We start from the raw sequence: 24298 nt of genomic DNA, 5'->3' as shown, positions 1-24298 counted from the left end.
CTCTATTTGCAGATGATATGATCTTGTATGTAGAAAATCCTTAAGAGATTCACACACACACATACACACACACACACACATTTTAGTAGTGCTAATAAGCAAGTTGAGCAAGGTTGAGTGTATGAGATACAAAAATCAGTTCTATGTTATGCACTAGCAGTGAGCAATTAAAAAATGAAATTAGGAAAACCCCCCTTACAATAGCTTCAAAAACATTTAACCAAAGAACTACAAGATTTGTTCCCTGAAAACTGCAAAACACTGTTGCCTGGGCAGGGGGACAGAAATTGATAGGAAAATGACTTAAGGGATGTTTGTGAGGGATGAAAATATTCCCTATTCTGATTAGGGTAGTGGCTATGGTGTCTACATTTATCAATACTCTTCAAGCTGTATACTTAGTATCTATGCATTTTGTCAATACCAACCTGGGCAACATAGCAAGACCCCATCTCTACAAAAGAAAATTTAAAAATTAAAAAGACACATAGACAAATAGAACAGAATAGATAACTCTGAAATAAAACTGCACACTTACAACCAGCTTATCTTCAACAAAATCAACAAAAATTAACAGTGGGGAAAGGACTCTCTAGTAAATAAATAGTGCTGGGGAAACTGCTGTGAAACTGGGAGAACTGTATGCAGAAGAATGAAACTGGACCCCTACCTCTCAACCACATACAAAAATTAACTAAAAATGGATTAAAAACTTAAATGTAAGACCTCGAACTATCAAAATCCTAGAAGAAAATCTAGAAAATACTCTTCTGGACATCAGCCTAGGCAAAGAATTTATGACTAAATCCTCAAAAGCAAATGCAACAAAAACAAATTAACAATTGGGACCTAATTAAAGAGCTTCTGCACAGCAAAAGAAACTATCAACGGAGTAAACAGACAACCTACAGAATGGAAGAAAATGTTTGCAAATTATGCATTCAGCAAAGGACTGATATCCAGAATCTGTAAGGAACTTAAACAAATCAACAAGAAAAAAATAACCCCATTAAAAAGTAGGCAAAGGATATGAACAGACACTTCTCAAAAGACACACATGCAGCCAACAAGTATATGAAAAAACGTTCAACATAACTATCAGAGAAATGCAAATCAAAGCCACAGTGAGATACCATCTCACACCAGTCAAAATGGCTACTATTTTAGAAAAGAACAGATGTTGGGGAGGTTGTGGAGAAAAGGGAATTCTTACACTCTGCAAGTGTAAATGTAAATTAGTTCAGCCCCTGTGGAGAGCAGTTTGGAGATTCCTCAAAGAACTAAAAATAGAAATACCATTTGACCCAGCATTCCCATTATTGGGTATATACCGAAAGGAATATAAATTGTTCTACCAAAAAGACACTTGCATGTGTATGTTTATCGCAGCATTAGTCACAGTAGCAAATACATGGAATCAACCCAGGTGCCCATCAACAGCAGATTAGATAAAGAAAATGTGGAACATAAACACCATGGAATACTACACAGCCATAAAAAAAGAATGAAATCATGCCCTTTGCAGCAACATGGATGCAGCTGGAGGCTGTTATCCTTAGCAAATTAATGCAGAAAGAGAAAACCAAATATTACATATTCTCACTTATAAGTGGGAGCTAAACATCAGGTACACAAGGACATAAAGATGGGAACAATAGACACTGGGGACTCCAAAAAGGGACAAGGACTGGAAAACTCCTTATAGGGACCATGTTCATTATCTGGGTGACGGTATCAAGAGAAGCCCAAACCTCAGCATCATGCAGTATACTCTTTTAACAAATCTGCCCGTGTACCTCCTGAATCTAAAATAACATTTAAAAAATTAAAATATTAGCCAGGCATGGTGGCTTCACACCTGTAGTCCCAGCTATCGAGAGGCTGAGGTGGAAGAAGGCTTCAGTAGTTATGATTGCGCCACTGTGCTCCAGCCTGGACAACAGAGCATGGCCCTAGCTCTTAAGGGTGCTGGGGGGAAGGTATAAAATATTTTTGGGATTTGACACCATCATGTTTTATTTCTCACTCAGGCAAAATGTGGATGGAGGGGGCTGGGCAATCCTGGCTAACAGAGGCTCTGCTGTGCTTGAACTGTGCTGCATGGAACATGTGGCTTCCAAGGGCAGTTCAGCAGGGTAGAGTGAGCCTCCCAGACTACAGCTTTGAGTGCCAGCTTTCCCAGCCTGGGTGACCCAGCATTTCCCTCTACATTCCCCTGGCCAGTGCTGGCCACATGGCCCCACCCAACTGCAAGGCTGAGAGGTGCTGTCTTCCCTCGGTAGGAAGGAAGAAAGAAAGAGGAAACCAACTCGTAAGCATTAATAACATCACGCACAACTGATGAAAACAACTCACTGATATCTTATTGTTTTCTGAGAAGGTCCCTGTAAGAAAAATATGTTGATAATAACCAAGACATTCCTCACACTGAAAGAGCACAGAAAAGCTAAACCACAGTTTATTTCGTGAGCAGCTGTGTCTTGATGATGGCATATACATGTCTTTTGCTGTACAATAACTATAGTCCATGCATCTTCTGCCTTAGGGAGGTGTTTCCTGGGTGCTAAAGGTCTTTCAGCGAAGCTGGCATGCATTTAACTTAGAAGGCAAATTCTTTGTGCTGCTCTTCACTTCTCCTTATATTTTTCATTTCACTGTGCACCGATAACGTTACCAGAAAAAGGGGTCTTGATCCAGATCCCAAGAGAGGATTCTTGGATCTCGTGCAGGAAGGAATTTAAGGCAAGTCTCAAAGTTCAGTGAAGGAAGCAAGTTCATTGAAAGCTACTCCATTACAGAGCACGGCATCCTTAGAAAGCAAGCGGAGGAACGCACAGTCTTGTTTTATGTTTTTCTTAGATAGGGGTCTTGTCTATACAAAGACTAAACTAAACTGTGACTACATGAGGGTGAGCAGACAGCATGACAAAGTTGATTTAAAGAAAACTCTCCTTGACATTTCAGTGTGTGCGTCCATCAAAGCATAGGTGTTATTAACTAGAAAGCATACATGGTTACGGGTATGGGGATAACTAGACTCTCCATTGTTGTAGGAGTGTCCTTACGGGAATCTTTAGGCTGTTTCCTCAACCATAAGCATCTTCGGACCACGGGTCATGACTGGCAAGGAATGTGTCTTGTTAGTCAAGATGGAGCTGAACTTAAAATGGCATTACTCTGGCTCTCCTAGGCTCCTACTTCCCTAACAATAATGGCTCCCTCTAGGCTAAAGTTTGCAAACTGCTGGTGAGAAATGGAGCCTTGATGGGAAGGGAGGATGCTCACGTGTAGGCAGGAGGAGCTCCCTGGAAGGTCGGTTCCCAGGGCCACTGGAGAGGAGTGGCTGAAGGAGCAGGTCCTAGTGGTTGTGCAGAGCATCTCCTGGCTTTCTGCAATTCTTTTCCTTTCTGAACCTCAGGTGCCTCAGCTGTAGGATGGGGTTGACTTGAGCCCCTTGTTCCCACCACCCTCAGACCTGAAGAAGAAGAACAGCTGGATCTGGGGGTGTTTGTCCTCTTGAGACAGTTCAGGCTAGCCACTGAGGCTTCTGTTGAATTGGTTGCAAGCTGGATGGATTTTCTAAAGTGTGCGTGAGGAGTGAGTAGAGGAAGAGCAGTGTATTGGAGGAGTGGGGCTTAGAGTGAAGGAAGGAGAAGAGACAGAAACTGTGTGGGGAGAGAAAATCTGGGAAAGGAGGTTTTGGTTAAAAGTGGCAGTGGTGTTTTCTGATATCATCTCTGACACCAAATACATATCATTTCCCCCATACCACCAAGTTCTCCAATTCTCTGACATCAGATAGGTATCCTAGAGATCAGTCCAGTTCTGATACCAACTCCTGGAGTCAGTGCAGGCCCCACAGGTTAAGGGCTCAATCACACAAGACTGCCCCCCACTTCAGATGCTGGCCACAAATGGGGTGCCAAGGCTGACAACCAGTTCAGTGATTCCCACCACCCCCCTCAGGTTTGATAATCACTGGAACAACCAACAAAACTCAGGAAAGTGCTCTACTCACTGTTACGGTTTCTTATCAAGGACACCATTGAACAGCCAGATGAAGAAGTATGTAATTTGAGGTCTGGAAGGGTCCAAATGCAGGAGCCTCTGTCCCTACCGGGTCCGGGTGGATGGCATGTGGATGTGTTCACCAACTCAGGGACTCTCTGAACCTTGTCGTTCAAGAGTTTTTATTGAGCTCAATCTCCAGCCCCATTTTATCCCCTCCCTGGAATAGAATAAAAGTCAGGGGATAAGATAAAAGTTCTTACCTTCTAATCATGTGTTTGGTCTTTCTGGTGACCGGCCCCCATCCTGAAGCTGTCTAGAGACACCACTCTGAGTCACCTCATTAAGGTATACTCCAGTGAGTCCCAAAGGGGCTCCTTATGAATAACAAAAGATGTTCCTATCACTTAGGAAATCCCAAGCGTTTAAGGAACTCTGTTCCAGGAACTGGGGACAAAGACCTAATATATATTTTTACCATATCATGGTGGCAGATTAATAGATTTTGTTCTGCGATATGTAATACAACACTGATATAGTTTGGATATTTGTCTCCTCCAAATCTCGTGTTGAAATGTCACTCCCACTGCTTGTTATTGGTCTGTTCAGAGTATCTAATTCTTCCTGATTTAAGCTAGGAGGGTTGTATCTTTCCAGGAATTTATCCATCTCCTCTAGGTTTTCCAGTTTATGCACATAAAGGTGTTCATAGTAGCCGTGACTGATCTTTTGTATTTCTGTGGTGTCAGTTGTAATATGTCCTGTTTTGTTTCTTAGTGAGGTTATTTGAATTTTCTCTCTTCTTTTCTTGGTTAATCGTACTAATGGTCTATCAATTTTAATTTTCTTTTCAAAGAACCAGATTTTTGTTTCATTTATCTTTTGTATTTTTTTTGTTTCAATTTCATTTAGCTCTGCTCTGATTTTGGTTATTTCCTTTCTTCTTCTGGGTTTGGGTTTGGTTTGTTCTTGTTGCTCTAGTTACTTGAGATATGATCTTAGATTGTCCATTTGTGTTCTTTCAGACTTTTTGTTGTAGGTGTTTAGGGCTGTGAACTTTCCCCTTAGCACTGCCTTTGCCATATCCCAGAGGTTGTGTCACTATTGTTGTTCAATTTGAAGAATTTTTAAATTTCCATCTTGATTTCATTTTTGACCCAATGATCATTCAGGAGCAAGTTATTCAATTTCCATGTATTTTCATGGTTTTGAAGTTTCCTTTTGGAGTTGATTTCCAGTTTTATTCCACTGTGGTCTGAGAGAGTGCTCGATATAATTTCAATTTTCTTAAATTTATTGAGGCTTGTTTTGTGGCCTATCATATGGTCTATCTTGGAGAAATTTCCATGTGCTGATGAATAGAATGTATATTCTGCAGTTGTTGGGTAGAATGTTCTGTAAATATCTGTTAAGCCCATTTGTTCCAGAGCATAGTTTAAATCCATTATTTCTTTGTTGACTTTCTGTCTTGATGACCTGTCAAGTATCGTCAGTGGAGTACTGAAGTCTCCCACCATTATTGTGTTGCTGTCTATCTCATTTCTTAAGTCTATTAGTAATTGTTTTATAAATTTGGGAGCTTCAGTGTTAGGTGCATATATATTTAGGATTGTGATATTTTCCTGTTGGACAAGGCCTTTTGTCATTATATCATGTCCTTCTTTGTCTTTGTAAACTCCTGTTGCTTTAAAGTTTGCTTTGTCTGATGTACGAATAGATACCCCTGCTTGCTTTTGGTGTCCATTTGCATGGAATGTCTTTTTCCACCCCTTTACCTTAAACTTATGTGAGTTCTTATGTGTTAGGTGAGTCTCCTGAAGGCAGCAGATGGTTGGTGAATTCTTATCCATTCTGCAATTCTGTATCTTTTAAGTAGAGCATTTAGGCCATTTACATTTAACGTTAGTATTGAGATGTGAGAGGTACCATTCCTATTTGTTGCCTGTAAACCTTGTTTTTTTGTTGCATTTTTGTTTTATAGGTCCTGTGAGATGTATGCTTTAAAGAGGTTCTGTTCTGATGTGTTTCCAGGATTTGTTTCAAGATTTAGAGCTCCTTTAGCAGCTCTTGTAAAAAAAAAATTACCAACAAATAAACGTCCAGGACCAGATGGATTCACAGCTGAATTCTACCAGATATTCAAAGAAGAATTGGTATCAATCCTATTGACAGTATTCCACAAGATAGAGAAAGAGGGAATCCTCCCTAAATCATTCTGTGAAGCCAGTATCAGCCTAATACCAAAACCAGGAAAAGACATAACCAAAAAAAGAAAACTATAGACCAATATCCCTGAGGAACATAGATGCAAAAATCCTTAACAAAATACTAGCTAACTGAATCCAACAACATATCAAAAATATAATCCACCATGATCAAGTGGGTTTCATACCAGGGATGCAGGGATGGTTTAACATATGCAAGTCAATAAATGTGATACACCACATAAACAGAATTAAAAACAAAAATCACATGATCATCTCAATAGATGCAGAAAAAACATTTGACAAAATCCAGCATCACTTTACGATTAAAACTCCCAGCAAAATCAGCATACAAGGGACATATCTCAAGGTAATAAAAGCCATCTATGACAAACCCACAGTCAACATAATACTGAATGGGAAAAAGTTGAAAGCGTTCCCTCTGAGAACTGGAACAAGACAAGGATGCTCACTTTTACCACTTCTCTTCAACATAGCATTAGAACTCCTAGCCAGAGCAATCGACAAGAGAAAGAAATAAAGGGCATCCAAGTTGGTAAAGAGGAAGTCAAGCTGTTGCTGTTTGTTGATGATATGATCATTTACCTAGAAAACCCTAAAAACTCCTCCAGAATGCTCCTAAGACTCATAAAAGAATTCAGCAAAGTTTCCAGATACAAAATTAGTGTACACAAATCAGTAGCTCTTCTATACACCAACAGCGACCAAGTTGAGAATCAAATTGAGAACTCAACCCCTATTACAATAGCTGCAAAAAAATTAAAATACTGGCTGGGAGCAATGGTCATGCCTGTAATCCCAGCACTTTGGGAGGCCAAGGCAGGCAGATCACGAGGTCAGGAGATTGAGACCATCTGGCTAATATGGTGAAACTCCGTCTCTACTAAAAATACAAAAAATTAGCCGGGTGTGGTGGCACATGCCTGTAGTCCCAGCTACTTGGGAGGCTGAGGCAGGAGAATCAGTTGAACCCAGGAGGTGAAGGTTGCAGTGAGCTGAGATCATGCCACTGCATTCCAGCCTGGGTGACAGAGTAAGACTCCGTCTCAAAAAAAAGAAAAAAAAATTAAATTACTTAGGAATATACGTAACCTACTTAACCCAGGAGGTGAAAGACCTCTACAAGGAAAACTACAAAACACTGCTGAAATAAATCATAGACAACACAAACAAACGGAAACACACCCCATGCTCATGAATGGGTAGAATCAATATTGTGAAATATTGAAAATAGCATACCCATACTGCCAAAAACAATCTACAAACTCAACTCAATTCCCATCAAAATACCACCATCATTCTTCACAGACTAGAAAAAATATCCTAAAATTCATATGCAACCAAAAAAGAGCCTGCATAGCCAAAGCAAGACTAAGCAAAAGGAACAAATCTGGAGGCATCACATTACCTGATTTCAAACTGTACTATAAAGCCATAGTCACCAAAATGGCATGGTATTGGTATAAAAATAGGCACATAAACCAATAGAACCAGAAATAAGCCCAAATACTTAGAGCCAACTGATCTTCAACAAAGCAAACGAAAACATAAAGTGGGGCAAGGACACCCTATTCAACAAATGGTTTTGGGATAATTGGCAAGCCACATGTAGAAGAATGAAACTGGATCGTTGTCTCTCACCTTATGCAAAAATCAATTCAAGATGGATCAAAGACTTAAATATAAGACCTGAGACTATAAAAATTCTACAAGATAACATTGGAAAAACCCTTCTAGACATTGGCTTAGGCAAGGATTTCATGACCAAGAACCCAAAGGCAAGTGCAATAAAAACAAAGATAAATAGCTGGGACTTAATTAAACTAAAGAGTTTTTGCATGGCATAAGATCAGTCAGCAGAGTAAACAGACAATCCACAGAGTGGGAGAAAATCTTCACAATCTATATATCTGACAAAGGACTAATATCCAGAATCTGCAACAAACTCAAACAAATTAGCAAGAAAAAAAAACCATCAAAAAGTGGGCTAAGGACATGAATAGACAATTCTCAAAAGAAGATACATAAATGGCCAAGAAACATATGAAAAAATGCTCCACATCACTGATAATCAGGGAAATGCAAATCAAAACCACAATGTGATACCACCTTATGCCTGCAAGAATGACCATAATCAAAAAATCAAAAAATAATAGATGTTGATGTGGCTTCAGTGAACAGAAAACACTTCTACACTGCTGGTGGGAATGTAAACTAGTACAGCTACTATGGAAAACAGCATGGAGATTCCTTAAAGAACTAAAAGTAGAACTACTATTGATCCAGCAATCCCACTACTGGGTATCTAGCCAGAGGAAAAGAAGTCATTATACGAAAAAGATAATTGCATATGCATGTCTATTGCAGCACAATTCACAATTGCAAAAATGTGCAACCAACCCAAATGCCCATCAATCAACGAGTGGATAAAGAAATTGTGAGATATATATATATATATATATATATATATATATATATATATATATGAATATATATATGATGGAATACTACTCAGCCATTAAAAGGAATGAATTGATGGCATTCACAGAGACCTGGATGAGACTGGAGACTATTATTCTAAGTGAAGTAACTCAGGAATGGAAAACCAAACATCGTATGTTCTCACTCATAAGTGGGAGCTAAACTATGAGGATGCAAAGGCATAAGAATGGCACAATGGACTTCGGGGACTCAGGGGGAAAAGATGGAAAGGGAGTGAGGGATAAAAGACTACAAATTGTGTGCAGGTATACTGCTCGGGTGATGGGTGTGCCAAAACCTCATGAATCACCACTAAAAAACTTATGTAACCAAACACCACCTGTTCCCCAATAACCTATGGAAATTAAAAATTTAAAAAGAAATAAAAAAAAGACAAAGAAACGTGACTCCCAGTGTTGAGGTGGGGCCTAGTGGGTGGTCATGGGGGCAGATCCCTCATGAAAGGCTTGGTACCCTCTCTGTGGTAATAAGTTCTTACTCTATTGGTTCATGCAAGAGCTGGTTGTTCAAAAGAGTTGGGCACCTCTCCTCTCTCTCCTACTTCCTCTCTTGCTATGTGACACCTGCTCCCCTTTGCCTCTGCCATGAGTGGAAGCTTCCTGAGGCCTCCCCAGAAGAAGATACTGGTGCCATTCTTCCTGTACAGACTGCATAACCATAAGCCAAATAAGCCTCTTTTCTTTATAAATTACCCAGTTTCAGGTATTCCTTTATAGCAACACAAAGGACTAATACAATCCCCTCTTTCAAAATCTCTGTGTAATGTTCAGTAAAAGGTTTGCCTGAGTCATCAGTGCTTTTGAGTTGGATTAGGCCTAAATGGACTTCCCCAAATTATCCCTGGACCATTGTCAAGGACCCCTTTGTTAGGGAACAGTGGGCTAACGGGGTAAAGGAGAGGGGGGACATGGGGGAGGATATGACAGGGCCCAGAGTGCTAGGAGCATGGGATGTAGCAGGGATTATGGAAAGTGTGGTTGGATCATGAGGATGGTGGCCTTGAAAACCAGGTACAAAGCTTGGCCCCTAAGGCAGGCAGTGGGGAAGTCTTGACTTTTGGAGCAGAGGAGGGACCTGGTCCAATCTGTGCTTTGGGGAGCAAATGGACTTTGGAGCAGCCCTGGAGACAGTTGATGATGTGGCCTGTCTTAGTCCATTTGTGTTGCTATAAGGGAATACCCAAGGCTGGGTAATTGATAAAGAAAAGAATTGATATTTGGCTCATGGTTCTACAGGCTGTACAAGAATCATGGCACCAGTATCTGCTCCTGGTGAGGGCTCGGGCTGGTTCCACTTTTATTTATTTATTTATTTATTTATTTATTTATTTATTTATTTTTATTTTTTGAGACGGAGTCTTATTCTGTCGCCAGGTTGGAGTGCAGTAGTGTGATCTCGGCTCACTTCAACCTCTGCCTCCCAAGTTCAAGCCATTCTCCTGCCTCAGCCTCCCAAGTAGCTGGGACTATGGGCATGAGCCACCACGCCCAGCTATTTTTTTTTTTTTTTGGTATTTTTTAGTAGAGACGGGATTTCACCATGTTAGCCAGGATGGTCTCGATCTCTTGAATTTGTCATCTGCCCACCTCGGTTTCCCAAAGTGCTGGGATTACAGACATGAGCCACTGCGCCCAGCCTGCTTCCACTTTTAAAGGAAGGTGAAGGGGAGCTAGCATGTGCAGAGACCACAAGGTGAGAAAGGAAGCAAGAAAGAGTGGGGGAGGCTCTTTTTAACAACCGGCTCTCAAGGGAACTCTCAGGAACTAGTAGAGTGAGAATTCATGCACCCTTCCCCAGGGAGGACATTATTCATGAGGAATCCACCCCCATGACCCAAATGCCTCCCATTAAGCCCCACATCAAACATTTGGAATCAGATTTCAACATAAGATTTAGAGGGCCAAACATCCAACTATAACATTCCTTCCCTGGTCCCCCAAACCTCATGTCCTTCTCACATTGCCAAATACAATAATCTCTTCTTAACAGTTCCCAAAAGTCTTAACTTGTTCCAGCACCAACTCAAAAGTCCGAGATCCAAAGTCTCATTTTAGACTCAAGGCAAGTTCCTTACAGCTGTGAGCCTGTAAAATCAAAAACAAGTTATTTGCTTCCAAGATACAATGGCGATACAGGCATTGGGTAAACATTCTCAATTCCAAAACGGAGAAATTGGCCAAAAGAGAGGGGTAACAGGCCCCACACAAGTCTGAAACTCAGCAGGGCAGACATTCAGTCTTAAAGCTCCAGAATGATCTCCCTTGCCTCCATGTCTCACATTCTGGGCATACTGGTGTGAAGGGTGGGCTCCTAAGGCCTTGGGCAGCCATGTGAGCTATGCCCAGCAAAGCCACAGGGGTGGGGAGTTGAATGCCTGTGGCTTTTCCAGGCTGGGGTTGCATTCTCCCGGTGGCTCTACCATTCTGCTCTCTGGAGGATGGTGGCCCTGCTCCCACAGCTCCACCAGGCAGTGCCCCGTAGAGACTCTGTGCAGGGGTTCCAACCCCACATTTCCACTGGGCACTGCCTAAACAGAGTCTCTCTGTGGGGGCTCCACCCCTGTGACAGGCATCTGCCTGGGCACTCAGGCTTTCTGGTGCATCCTCTGAAATCTAGGTCAAAGGTGCCAAGCCTCCACCACTTTTGCCTTCTGGGCACCTGACACTTAACACCACATGAAGGCCATAGAGACTTATGGCTTGTGCCCTCTTCTGTGCAAAAAGGGCTCTGCCTTCATGTAGCTCTCTCTCTCTCTCAGAACAAAGGAAATGTTTTCTGGAAGCCACCAACAATCTTCTGGAGTGGCATTGGGCAGTTGTGGGTCACACACACACCCATAGACCAGGCCCTGGCAGAGGGCACAGAAGGGCTGTCTGCTTTAGACCATGGCAACTTGTTCCCTGGGCTGGACGCACTGCCATGGCAACTTGTTCCCTGGGCTGGACGCACTGCCTCACAAAACCAGCCCTGCCCACACCTTTATCCAAGCCCCTCCAAGTACCCCATTTGAGCAGCCATCTGTTTCCTGACAGGACCAGGCTGTGACAGGGTTGCTGCGTGTGCAGTGTGAGTATGCTGCATCTGTGTCAGGGCGTATGTGTGTGCAGTGCATCAATGTGAATAAAGCATGTGCGTGTGTGTGTGTGTGAGAGTGTGAATTGCAGAAAGGGAGAGAGTGAGTCCAGACAACGAAGCTACTTGGTCCATTGTTCCCAGTCCCCATGCTCTGTTCCCACCTGCTCTCCCTCCATCCAGGAAATTCCTCGTGTGAACAAAGCCTCCAGATGGAATGAATCAGCTGAAAAGCATAAGTGGCTCAAGCAGAAAGTCAGGATCAGCCTCCTTGGCCCCAGTTTCCCTTTTTTTTTTTTTTTTTTTTTTTTTTTTTTTTTTTTTTTGCTTTTCAGAGTTTTAAGCTTCAGCTTTAGCCCTGGTTTTAACCATTCAGCCAAGTGGATGTCTGCTCAGCCGGCCAAACAGCCCCAGCAGCTTCCCCTGGGGCTGTGCCACAGGAAGGTGGTCCCTTATCACAGCTCTCCTGAGCGGAGCTGGCTGGAGTGGGAGAGGCAGAGGACATGGATGCCCAAGGATAGCAGGGTAAAAAGAGAACATTTGGCGCAGCAAAGCCAAATGGGCCACAGAACTCTCAGCGAGGGGGGCTGAGGTTGCTCAGAGCAGAGCTTGTTCAGCCTGCATCCCATTTCCTCTCACTAGTCTTCCTACACACACGCACACACACACCCAGACACCTGCACACACACACACACCCAGACACCTGCACACACACACACACCTGCACGCAGAGCTGTGATCTGAAAGGCAGCCCAGACTCAGGTGGAGGCTGGGCTTCCTGATTTGTCTCAAACAAAGGCTTGTGCCTGCTCCCAGGAGCTGTCTGCTTGGAGCCCTGGGGCTCTGCAGCATGCTCAGAGCCAGTCCAGGCGTGGGCAACCACAGCCAGGCAAGAGCTCACAGCCTGAGCTCTGGAGCAGCCCAGAGCACTGTCAGAACTCACAGGGGCTGGGAACGGCAGGGGCTGAGGCCGGACGAGCCATTGGTCCTGCTTAGAGCAGAGAGGGCATCAAGGAAAGCTTGTGAGATACATACATACATACATATATATATACATACACACATATGTAACATATATATAATATATATATTTTAATCTCTGCATTCCTCAGTTTCACCATCTGTAAAATCGGGATAATAATGGTACCTGCTTATAGGATTGACATGGGATTGTATGAATTAATACATGTAATGGATTTAGAATAATACCTGGCAAAGAGGAAATGAAACCAAGGGGTTAATTTGATCGGGGCTGCCTGGCCCGCTTGCTTTTGGCCACTCACTCACTTTTTGTTATTTTTTTTTTCATTTTTCCATGAAGCTAAAGTCTGTGGTAGCCGAAGGCCTCACCACTGAATGCTGAAACTTAACCTTCACTGGCTACTTTATAGATAACATTCATCGGTCACCAAGGTCATAGTCACTTCCATTGTTTTTCAGGAACTTGGGGCAGCTCCTGTCCAGTTCAAACCAGTTGAGACCACTGACCCTTCAACTGGGCCTGCACAAGTGCCTGAGAGGTGGCTTTTTGACATCGGAGAGCCAAAACCTACCCCCTCAGGTCATGCTACCACTGCTGTTTTCTGTACACATGTCCTATGAAATACCATGAACCCCGACTGCACTTGTGCAGAATGAATGTGTTGCTTCATTTCCCCACTGCCAATCACCTTTTCCCCCAAGCCTTAGAGAACCCCGCTCCCCTAACCTGTAAATACCCCTAAGCCTTATCTTCCAGCAGGAGGATTTGAGGGCTGTTCTCCCACCTCCTCACTTGGCGCCCTTGAGGGAAATAACTCTCTTCTCTTTTGCAAAATTTGTCACAGTGATTGATTTACTGCAAGCGTGCAGAATGAGCCTGGACCCGGCCAGCCACAGAAACACTCAAGTATCAATGGTTATTATTATGATATACAGCATTCCAAGGAACCTGGCACGTTGGATATTTCCATCTTACACATGAGGAAACTGAGGCTCAGACAGGGCATGTGACTTGCCTGAGGTCATGCAGCTAGAAGGAGGCAGAGTCAAGATTTGAAACCAGGTCCACATGGCTCAGAAGATGAAGATTTCTCCAGGACCCCGCATGGCCTGGTCATGCCTCATGGAGCATTGCCAGCTGGGCCCTTGGGTGTGGGACGTGGAGCTGGAATGGAGGCAGCCTGGTTAGTGGCCGGCCTGACCATAGCAATCAGGGCCTGAGGCCCAGGAAGGGGTATGGGCATGGGGAGGGAGAAGAGTCTCCTCCTTGGGGAGGCTTGGCACCCTGCTAGCCCAGGTCCTGAGCCCAGATGGGGAAACTGTCTGGGCACCTGGCCTGGGAAGAGCCCCCTGGGGGAGTCACTCACACACCTGCCCCCAGCTCCCAGCCCTGCAGGGGTGGCTTCAACCCAGAGCTGCTAGAATGTGAAGTTACAAGAACAGTACCCTGCCTCCTCACCACAAGACTCTGATAGTTTAAGTTTTATGAGTTCATTAAATGTGTGCACAAACTTTTAAGGAAATAACATTACACTATAATGAGAGCTATAAATTGGCACTCTTCCTCTGAGTTTTCAGTGGTCATTCTAGTTGCCTACTTGGCCAAATGGCGCAGATTGTTGAGGAAAGACCTCTGTATACCCTATGCACTTTGAGCAGTTGTTGGTGTGGCTGACCAAGGTGAGGAGCAAGGAGAGGGTCACCTCCTCTGTATTCAAGGTCACTATCAGAATCCTGCATCAGAACAGGGACCACCCCACTTGGCGGCTGGGGGACTTTTACCATCCCTCCTGTAACCTCTGTCAGCCCCACTAAACAATACCCTTTAGGTAGAAACCTTGTGTTTGCATTGCAAATAGAGCTAGAAGACTGGGTCCCCCAAAGTCCCCAAATCCCCCACAAACCACCATGGGGCTGGCACAATTTTGTGCCTGTTTGCATCTGTGTCTGGCCAGTGTCCCCTCCAAAAAAAAACTTAGCTATGGATTCCTGAAATTAAAATCCACATGCTATGCATGTCAGAGCCTGGAATGCAAAAGGAAAGGTCAGCGTTTGCTGAGAGAGAGGGTGACCTGCAGAGATGCTGCAGCATAAGTGGTCCCTGGAGGACCAGGGGCCCAAGGGGGCTGAGGAAGAGTATCAGAAGAGATGGCAACATAGCGAACCACTGTCTCTATTGTTTTTTAAAAAAAGGTATTAAATGCTTGATTGCCAAATTAGGAAAAACAATCTCAATAGATGTGCTGATAAATTGACTGAATATAGCTGAAAATGAAATTGACAATCTGAAGATTATAACAGAAGAATTATCCCAGAGCATGGCTGGATGATTTCAACTCTATGACATTCTGGGAAAGGCAAAACTATGGGGACAGAAAAAAAGATCAGTGGTTGCCATTGAGAGACTGAGTGTGGATACACTGGGTTGGCCTACAAGTCTTGGTGGGATGGGCAACAACTTCCAGCCCTAGCCGTACTCCTGCAGGCTGGGTCTTGGAACCTCACTTGTTGGACTCCCAAGTCTTCCTTGTTCTGCTTTTCATAAGAAAAGCCTTGTGTCTTTTGCTTCCCTGTGTCTTGGATAAGTGTGGGATAATCCAGGATTCACAGACTTTGTAAATGAAGAAAACTCCAGATCTTCCTCCAAGCCCAGGCTTGATATCTTTGCGGCTTAGAATTTCAGTCCTGTGTGTGACATAAACATCTTGTCTGCCAGACCTAAGAAATTCATCCACACTCCCTGGCTGCTGAATTTTCTTTCCTGAGCCTATAGATGTTCTTCGTCATAAGTTGACAAAAGAGGTGCTCTGAGCCTGTGTGATAGGTTTTCCAGGCTTGCTGCCCGTTACTGTCATCTGCCAATTCATGAAGCAGTTGTATGCACCTATCCTGTGGGCGAATTTTATTTAGCCACTAATTATTGTATTCATTAAAAAGGAAGGAAGACAGGCAGGAAGAAGCACACTCAGATCTCCTCTCGGAAAATTCTCAGCTGCTCCACACATCACGTTTGAAGGATGAGAAGCACAAATAATGCTGTGAGATAAATAAATGTATAATTGAAACCACATGAAGTGGAATAATCAAGTTACTCAGCTCCCAGTGACTCCTAGTTTCTGATCTGTCTCCAGATATCAGAACTTGCAGAAACCGGTTGCACCTCCAATAACTACTACTCTGCAGCTTTTACCAGCAGACAATACCTTTGCCGTGGAGGAATAAAATGCATTCTTATAGGTTACGTGGTTTCTGCAAGTGAATAGTAACCAAATCTGAGAGGCCAATGTGCCGGCCCCAGTTTTATGGGACCTTGATGGAGTTCCTGGGAGGAGAAGGAAAGAAGCTGTGGGCTGCCGAGGGCCCCATGCTGCCCCTGCTTCCCTCCTGCAGGCATCCTTCTCACCTTCCTGCCCTCTCTCACTCCATCCCATCTCCCTCCAGTGCCTCTCCCCACTTCCAGTTCTGCATCCCTCCTGCCCACTCACTAACATGAGGGCTCCCCCAGGTCACAGCTTCCCTGGGCCTTAGTTTCTGTAAAATAGGGATAATTAAGGTAGAGAATCTACAGAGAATCAGAGGCAGATGTGAGGCTTCAATGAGTTCCAGCTGCAAAGCGCTTAGCTTTGTTAGTTTCTATGGTTCCCTTTTAGGAGGATGCCTTCGGAGCCTCTCACACTTCCGAAGCCTCACCCTGCCTTCGGCCCATGGTGAGTTTTAGTCGTGCCCCCAGGACATTCCTTAAGAGCAGCGTTGGGTTCTCCTGTCCCTCTTCATCCCTGCATCCACAGCAGGCATTTCTGCCCGGCTTTATAGTTCATAGAGTGTGTTCTTATTCATTGCCTTGTAATCTGTGTCATCCTCCTTATTTTAAGAGGAAATCAAGACCTGGAGGTGGAGGCACCGAGCTGGAACACAGCTCCCCTGGGAACCACTCTGGGCAGGACTGGCCGGCCCTGGAGGTGCTGGGTCCCTGTGGGTGGCCGACTGACAGTGCCTGGGAGGCACGTGCCCCGTCCCCGTCGCCTGCGCGGGTCAGTGGGCAGCCCAGGCCAGATCCTCTGAAAGGAGACCTCGCATTGTCTGTTTCCCAAGAAGCCGCAGTGCCACCTCGCGGCCGCCTTCAGAAGTGCATGCTGCGATCTGGCGCTCTGAGAAGCCCTGTGGGGAGGTACCTGCGTCCAGCCCAAGGGGCTGCCTGCCTGGCCCGCGAGGAAGAGCGCGTTCCTGCCGGGCCCACGCAGCTGAAAGTGGAAATGGGTTCTGTAGAATGTTTCGGCGTGCACCGAATTCGCGCAAGAATCCTCTACTGATGCCAGGCCCTGTGCCCAGGGATGGGGTGGGGGCGGTGCAGAGAAAGGACCGTGGGGTGGTGCAGAGAAAGGACCGTGGGGTCGTAGAGAGGAGTGCCAGAGGCCTTAGCTCTAAGGGGTGCGGGAATCGGAGAGGCAGAGGCCAACCAGAGGACCTCTTCGTGAGGCCAGCTGTCATGAGTGCTAGGATCCGAGCAAAGGGCCGAGTCCAGCTGCGCACACAGAGGGGCCCATCTCCTGCCACATGGTTTCCTTTCGTCCTCCCGCTTGCTCCGATTAACAGGCATCCTGCATCTTGGGCGTACAAGCTTCCCGGCCGCGCAAGTTGTTCAAGAACCCCAGAGGCAGGTGTTTCCGGGAGGCTCTAAGCCGACAGCTCTTTGAATGCCTGGCTGCTCACAGGGCCTGAGCCTCTGCCACACCCTGTTTAAGAACCCGAGGCTGCACGGCTGCTCAGGCCACCCCCAGCCAGACTCTGTCCTTCTCTTGCAGAGAGGTACACTCTGGGGCCTGGCCACCCTTCCCGCCGGGGGCCTCTCTGAGAGCCTCTGGCTCCAATAAAAGAAGGGAACAGAGTCCCAAATCCCTTTTTTCTGGCAGGCTCTTGGCCGTTGGGTGAATTTGCCACCCCCTTCTCCCTGACGTTGTGTATTAAGGATTCTTTGGAAGGGCAGACATTTCCAAGTCAGAGAAAGCGAGGGTCAATCTGCACCCTTTCTCAAAAAAAGCAGTGACGGCCTGCCTTGCATTTATACAATTTAAGGAGATTCCAGAGATAATAAGGCGAGTCTGTTCCAAGGTGACTTAAGGTCTCCATTTGCAGCCAAGGGAGCAGCTGGCATAATTCTAAGTTTCCGCCTGAGCAGGCACTTCCATTACCCTCAGAACCTCCATGCTTGGTTTCTGGAAAGATCAACTTCAGCAAAGAAGCGGGCGCGGGTGGGGAGCTAGCTCTTCCTTCCCTTGACAGCCTCAGTTGGAGACCTCGGCTGCCACCACGTGCCACAGTGGGAGAGTTTCCCGTCCAATGCTCTGCTCCAGCGATGTACTGGATTCCAGCCTGGGACCACCCAGAGACTTCGTTATATGTGGAATATAGGGAAATGAACACGGCAATGTCTGCACCACACAGAAGGTCTAGATTTCTCATCTGGAAAATGGTCCATTTCTGCCCGGGTCACAGAGGAAAAAAAGATCTGGCTGGGTGCAGTGGCTCATGCTTATAATCCTAGTGCTTTGGGAGGCTGAGACAGAAGGATGGCTTAAGGCCAGGGGTTCTAGACCAGTCTAGGCAACATAGTGAGACCCTGTCTCTACAAAAAAAGAATCAGACAGTTGCAGTAGCATGTACCTGTAGTTCTAGCTACTTGGAAGGCTGAGGTGGGAAGATTGCTTGAGCCCAGGAGTTTGAGGCACCAACGAGCTGTGATTGCATCACTGCACTCCAGGCTGGACAACAGAGTGAGACTCTGTCTTGAACAAAAATAAAGGAAAGAAAAGAAAAGAGATCCCACGTGGTAAGAGAAGTAACTTTTTGCTACCTTTAAAAAATCCTTATTTTCCGTCCCCATGGTAGGTTGTTTACAACAGTGGCCATGGTTTTGCAGCCCTCCTTGCATATGTGTCCTCAGCCCGGTGACTGTGCAGTAACTCCTGAGAAGATGCAGAGTGCATTTCTCAGCCCTTGGATCTGAGCTGGCCTGTGACTCACTTTGGTGCACAGAATGTGGCAGAAGTAAGGGGATTCAGGTTCTGAGGCTAGGCTGTAACAGCCATTGCATGCTTCCTCTTCCTTTCAGATCTCTGGGCTAGCCTGCTAGCCACTCAGAAAGATACCACTCAGCAGCAGCGGAGCCATCCCAGATGCTGATGTGTAGCTGATACCCAAGTGAGCCCTGCTGAGTCCGGCTCAGATGATCAGAAGCATCCTGCCAGCCCACAGACTCATGAGCAGTACTACACGGTTGTTATTTGAACCTACTGAGCCTTGGGGTGTTTTGTCACACAGCAACAGCTAACTGGTACCCCTGCTCACCTCCTTTCTTCTGCTTCTTCCTTCATTCTTCTGTTCCTGGACCTGATCAAGGTCATCCATCTGGGTAGTTACATGTCTGTGGGTTATTTCTCCACCATCTGCCCTTGGGGGCTGGGTGTTGGGAAGGCAGCCTGCTGGAAAGTCACCCTTGCAGACCCTGGAAATAAGCTGAGGATAGGCTCTGCTGGGCAAACTCCCCCCACCAAGGAGGAGAGGCTGCTCTATAGTCTCTGGTTTGTTCCTGGACAATTCGCTCCTTCTCTTTGGATCAGTCACTCTCTAACTGCTATTTGGCTGTCACCCAAGGACTGCTACTCCTTATCCTTCTGGGATGGACTCACTTTCTTCTTGGAGCCCTTCCTCAAGGTGCATCCCCTTTTTGGTGGAGAGAAACCCCAAATAATTTCTCAAAATGTGTGCAAGGTCAACCTTGAGTCCTTTCAGATCTGAAAAGATCTATTTGCCTTTAAACATTGGCTTGTCCTAGATGTATAGGTTCAAAATTCCTTTCCCCCAGAAATTTGGAGACAGTCCTCACTTTCTTCTGGCAGCCTGAGTACCTGATGAGGCAGCTGATGCCAAAATGTCCCTTCCCTGCATCCACCTATTTTGGAAGCTTGTAGGATATTTCCACTATTCTTGATATTCTGGAATTTTGTGCTGATGTCCCATGGGCCTTTTTTTATTCATTATGCTGGGCATTTGAGTTCCCTTCAAACTGAAGACCCAGGTGCTTCAGTTCTGGGAAATTGTCTTCTATTATTATATTATTATTTTACTATTTATGCCCCTTTCTCTCTGTCCTCTATTTTTGAGTCTATTAGGCATTTCAACCTCATGGATTGATTTTCTTGGTTTCTTATATTTTCTCTCATTTTTTAAAACCTTTTTACCTAATTGTCCCATACTGTGGGAAATTTTATTATACATATAGAGATAGATATATATGCACATGTGTGTATACAAATAAATGTGTATATGTATTTTTTTCAAATATTACTATAATATTACAAGTAACAGAAAAATGCAACATAAGATGCTTAAATATGTATATACATACACACACACACACACACACACACACATATACACACACACATTTTGACAATAATACTTCAAATTTACAAGAGTTATTTTCTGGCTTTGTAATTGCTTCTTCTCCATAGCATCCTATTCTTGTTTTATGTATTCAATATCTTCTTTTTTCACAGCTTCAAGATACAATTCACATACCATACAATTCACCCATTGAAAGTGTACAACTCAATGGCTTTTAGCATATTCGCAGAAAGGTGCATCAATCACCACAATCAATTTTAGAACATTTATATTACTCAAAATGATGAACTCTATAACCCCTTGCCATCACTTCCCATTCTCCCCCTCCCTATTTTCTCACCCCTCCAACACCGCCAGCCCAAGGCAACCATGAATCTGCTTCTGTTGCAATATGTTCTTGGCTTTATCATCTGATTTCTTGTACCTGTCTTCAATTAATCAAGAACTTCTAAGACATAAAAGGTGACTAACTAGGCCATATCCTATCCTAAGAGATATATATAGAAGAAAAAGACAAATTTACATTGAGAAGCATAGAAAAAGATAGGTATGCAAATACCAACAAAAGAAAGTAGATTTGGCCATGGTAGTATTTAGAAAAAAATAAAATTTAAGGACTAAAGTGTTAATTAACTAGGACAAAGAATAATATTTTATGAAAAAATATAATTCATTAAGACATTGTGAGTCATGAATTTTTCTTCACCTAATATTAGAACCTTGAAATATATTTATTTGTTAAGATGCTTTGGTTGCAAGTAACAGAAAAATGCAACTCAAGCTGGCTTACATAATTAAGGGAATTCAATGGACCACAAAAGTCCAAAGATAGAGCAGCTGTCAGGTGAGTCTGATCCAGTGGCTGAATGACATTCCCAGAGACCCGGTTTCCTTATTTTTCTCATGCTTGCTTTCAGGCAGGGCATTAATTTCATCTTCTGCAGTCTCTCCTCATGATCAGAGGATGGCTGATGAAGCAACTGGAGTCAAACATTTCCCTATTAGCATGTAGTCTGAGAGATATCTCTCATTTCAATCAATAAAAAACAATTCCTGGGCTAAATCTTCATGGACAAAATTAGGTCATATGACCATGGCTGAACTAATCAATGTGGCCAGCCAAGGGGATGAGAGGGACTGGTTGACTTAGATTTGGCTTATGTACAAAATTTTGAAATAAATTGGAATAAAGGGGAGAAATTCTTCAATTATCCAAGATTATGATAGCTCATTGTGGTGTGAAAAGACTCAATAATATCCCAAACACTTGGAAATGATGTAATATAGAAGAGGTGGAACAAATTCTGAGGAAGCCAACCACATTGTCCAAAACATATATGAGTAAATAGATTGAACAATTAACAAATCTGTAACCATAGTGGTAGATTTTTAACACACCCCTCTTAGAAATTGACATATAAAGGAAACAAGAAATAAGTACGGGCTCTGCAATGTAAATGACACAATTTCAAGCTTCTACTTTGTATGCAACATGTTGAAAATGCACATTCTTTTCAAACAGTTAAGAAGCATTGGCAGAAAATGATAATTGCTGTTAAACTGTGAAGAAGATCTTAATAATTTATAAATAGAAATCAGAGAATCCATGTTTTTGGTCTATACGATAATAAATTTGAAAATTCCCAATAAAGTGTAGCATCAACAGTGACAAAAAAAACTATCCCTTTAAAATATTTAAACATACCTCCTAAATAACTGTTGCATTAAAGAGAAAATTAAAACCAATCTAATTTTTAAAAACTGATTTTCAATTTTTGATTAAAAATTGAAAACTATTTAGAAATAAATGACAATGATAGCCAACCATCACAACTGCTATGGGGAGCCAAATCCGTGTTTAGAGGAAAATTCATAGCTTTAAGATGTATTTATCATGGGCACAAAAAGAAAAAAGAACTTGTAGTTAAAGATGATGAAGTAAAGTCAATTCTATTTTCTTCCTTCCCTCAAAATCCACCAAAACCAATACAATATTGTACAGTGTTCATTCTGGAAAAAGTACTATCACCAGAGGTAAATGAGCCAGGATTTAAGTCTCAGTTATCCTCCTTACCATTTTTGTGACTTTGGACAAATCACATTCTGTTCCTCATCCTTGCTTTCCTCATCTGTGAGATGGAGACATTAATCTCCACTTTATAGGGCTGTTAAGAGGAATAAATAATGAGATATTATCCAAATACTTGAGTGCTTACCATAGGCCAGATGCTGTCCTAAGCAGTTTATGTGAATTAGCTCATTTAAAATTCATACCAAAACTTTAAGGTAGGAGTTTAACAAGGTATTAGTCTTATACAAACATTGGCTAAGACAACCAACTAGTGAGTAGTGGAGCTGGATTTCGAAGCCAGGGTGTCTGGTCTTAGAGCTTGTGCTTCTTTTTATCTTAATTAGAACACAGATTTTCCTAAGAACTGTGTCATGGTTCTGAAAGGCCCATCCAGTGGTTCTGTGATGGATCAACCAGCTCTAAGGGCAAGAGCAGGATGCAGAGAAAAACAAGGAATACCCAGGAAGTGGGAGAAGCTGAATGGGAAATATGGTCTCACTCTCAATGATCCAGCCTCTGGCAGAGGAGACTACAGAGGGTGAGGACGGGAGAAGAAGCAATGACAACTGAGCTCCAGCATGCAAAGGCTCATAATATACAAGCTTGATGACTGTTAACCTCTTGAATTTTGAGAACTAAGGTTAGATGCCTGCCTGGGGCCAAGGAGATAACAGATTTGGTGAAAGGTATTGAGGACAGGCTTAGTCCAGTCTGCTATAACAAATTACTACAGGCGCGCCAAACAAAGTCGTGGCAGTGATCGAGGAGGCCATAGCGCGGCCTCAGGCTCTGGTGTCTCCCAGTCTGCTAAAGCCCAAGGCTGTCACCATGGACTTCCAGCATCGCACTGGGGGCAAGACCAGGAGCAGGGGCATGGCCTCCTCTGAGAGCAATCATGACCGCAGGGAACACCTCTGGCAGCTGGCCCTGGAGACCATCGACATCAATAAGGACCCATACTTAATGAAAAACCACCTGGGCCCCTAAGAATGCAAGTGCTGCCTGATGCTTCTCAACAAGAAGGGGAGCTATCTGGCACATACCCAGGGGAAGAAGCACCAGACCAACCTGGCCTGGCGAGCAGCCAAGGAGGCTAAGGAGGTGGCATCATGCTGTGCCACTGCTTCATGTCTGCATACGAACAGAGGATCAAGCCCCTGGACCAGTGCTGGCATGACTTGCTGATGGCTGCCGAGCCCTACGAGACCATCACCTTCAAGGTGCCGAGCAGGGAGATCAACAAGGTGGAAGGCACATTCTGGACACACTGGAACCAGGAGACCAAGCAGTTCTTCCTCCAGTTCCACTTTAAGATGGAGAAGCCCCAGCCTCTCCACTGGACCCCTGGGGTGAAGCGACCTCCACCCCTGCTGATGAACGATCTGCCCCCTTGGCCGCCGCTGTCTGAGTCTTTGCCACTGCCCCTTCCAGGAGGTCTGCCTCTGCCACCCATGTCCCCCACAGGGCCTGCACCCTCAGGGCCCCTGGGACCACCTCAGCTGCCCCCACCAGCTCCAGGGGTCCGCCCCCCAGCCCCAGTGGTGCAATCCCACATCTGGGGTCCATCCTCCAGCCCCCGGGGTTCACCCATCAGCCCCCGGAGTCCACCCACCAGCTCATGGGGTTCACCCACCAGCCCCAGGGGTCCATCCTCCCCTATCAGTGGGGGTTCACCCCCAGGCCCCAGGGGTGCACCCAGCAGCCCCTGCCATTCACATTCACCCTGGGAATGCACCCACCAGACCCAGGGATGTAACCTCAGGCCCTGGGGGTCCACCCCCAATCTCCTGGGGTCCATCCGTCAGTTCCTGGGGTCCATCTTCAGCCTCCTGGAGTTTACCCCTCAAATCCTGGGTACACCCCCCAACTCCCATGCCTCCAATGCTGAGGCCCCCCTCCCCTCCAAAGGCGCAGGGAACATACGTCCCCCTCCCCCAACCAACTGAGAAGCTTCTCCCTCCCCAAGCAAGCCCTGCCCCAGGTGCTCCTGCCTTTTCCATGGAGAGAATTACAGATATATTAAATATGAAACTAA

General features: G+C 44.7%; 1 pseudogene, besides 2 other annotated features; it reads left to right on the top strand.

Annotated features, from left to right (window-relative positions):
• Positions 16834-17440: an enhancer, noted in NCBI's record as "H3K27ac-H3K4me1 hESC enhancer chr3:126397718-126398324 (GRCh37/hg19 assembly coordinates)". NCBI's record gives its function as "activates a minimal SCP1, AML or CMV promoter by ChIP-STARR-seq in naive H9 embryonic stem cells {active_cell/tissue: H9 hESC(naive)}" and the evidence as "EXISTENCE:reporter gene assay evidence [ECO:0000049][PMID:30033119]".
• Positions 17219-17318: an enhancer, noted in NCBI's record as "active region_20440". NCBI's record gives its function as "activates an Ori minimal core promoter by ATAC-STARR-seq in GM12878 lymphoblastoid cells {active_cell/tissue: GM12878}" and the evidence as "EXISTENCE:reporter gene assay evidence [ECO:0000049][PMID:35858748]".
• Positions 23000-24271, top strand: SF3A2P1 (SF3A2 pseudogene 1; annotated as a pseudogene).

Source organism: Homo sapiens, chromosome 3, assembly GCF_000001405.40.
Source record: "Homo sapiens chromosome 3, GRCh38.p14 Primary Assembly".
Classification (NCBI taxonomy): Eukaryota; Metazoa; Chordata; class Mammalia; order Primates; family Hominidae; genus Homo; species Homo sapiens.
Note: the sequence above shows the minus strand (reverse complement) of the source record. Positions and strands in the feature narration are given on the sequence as shown.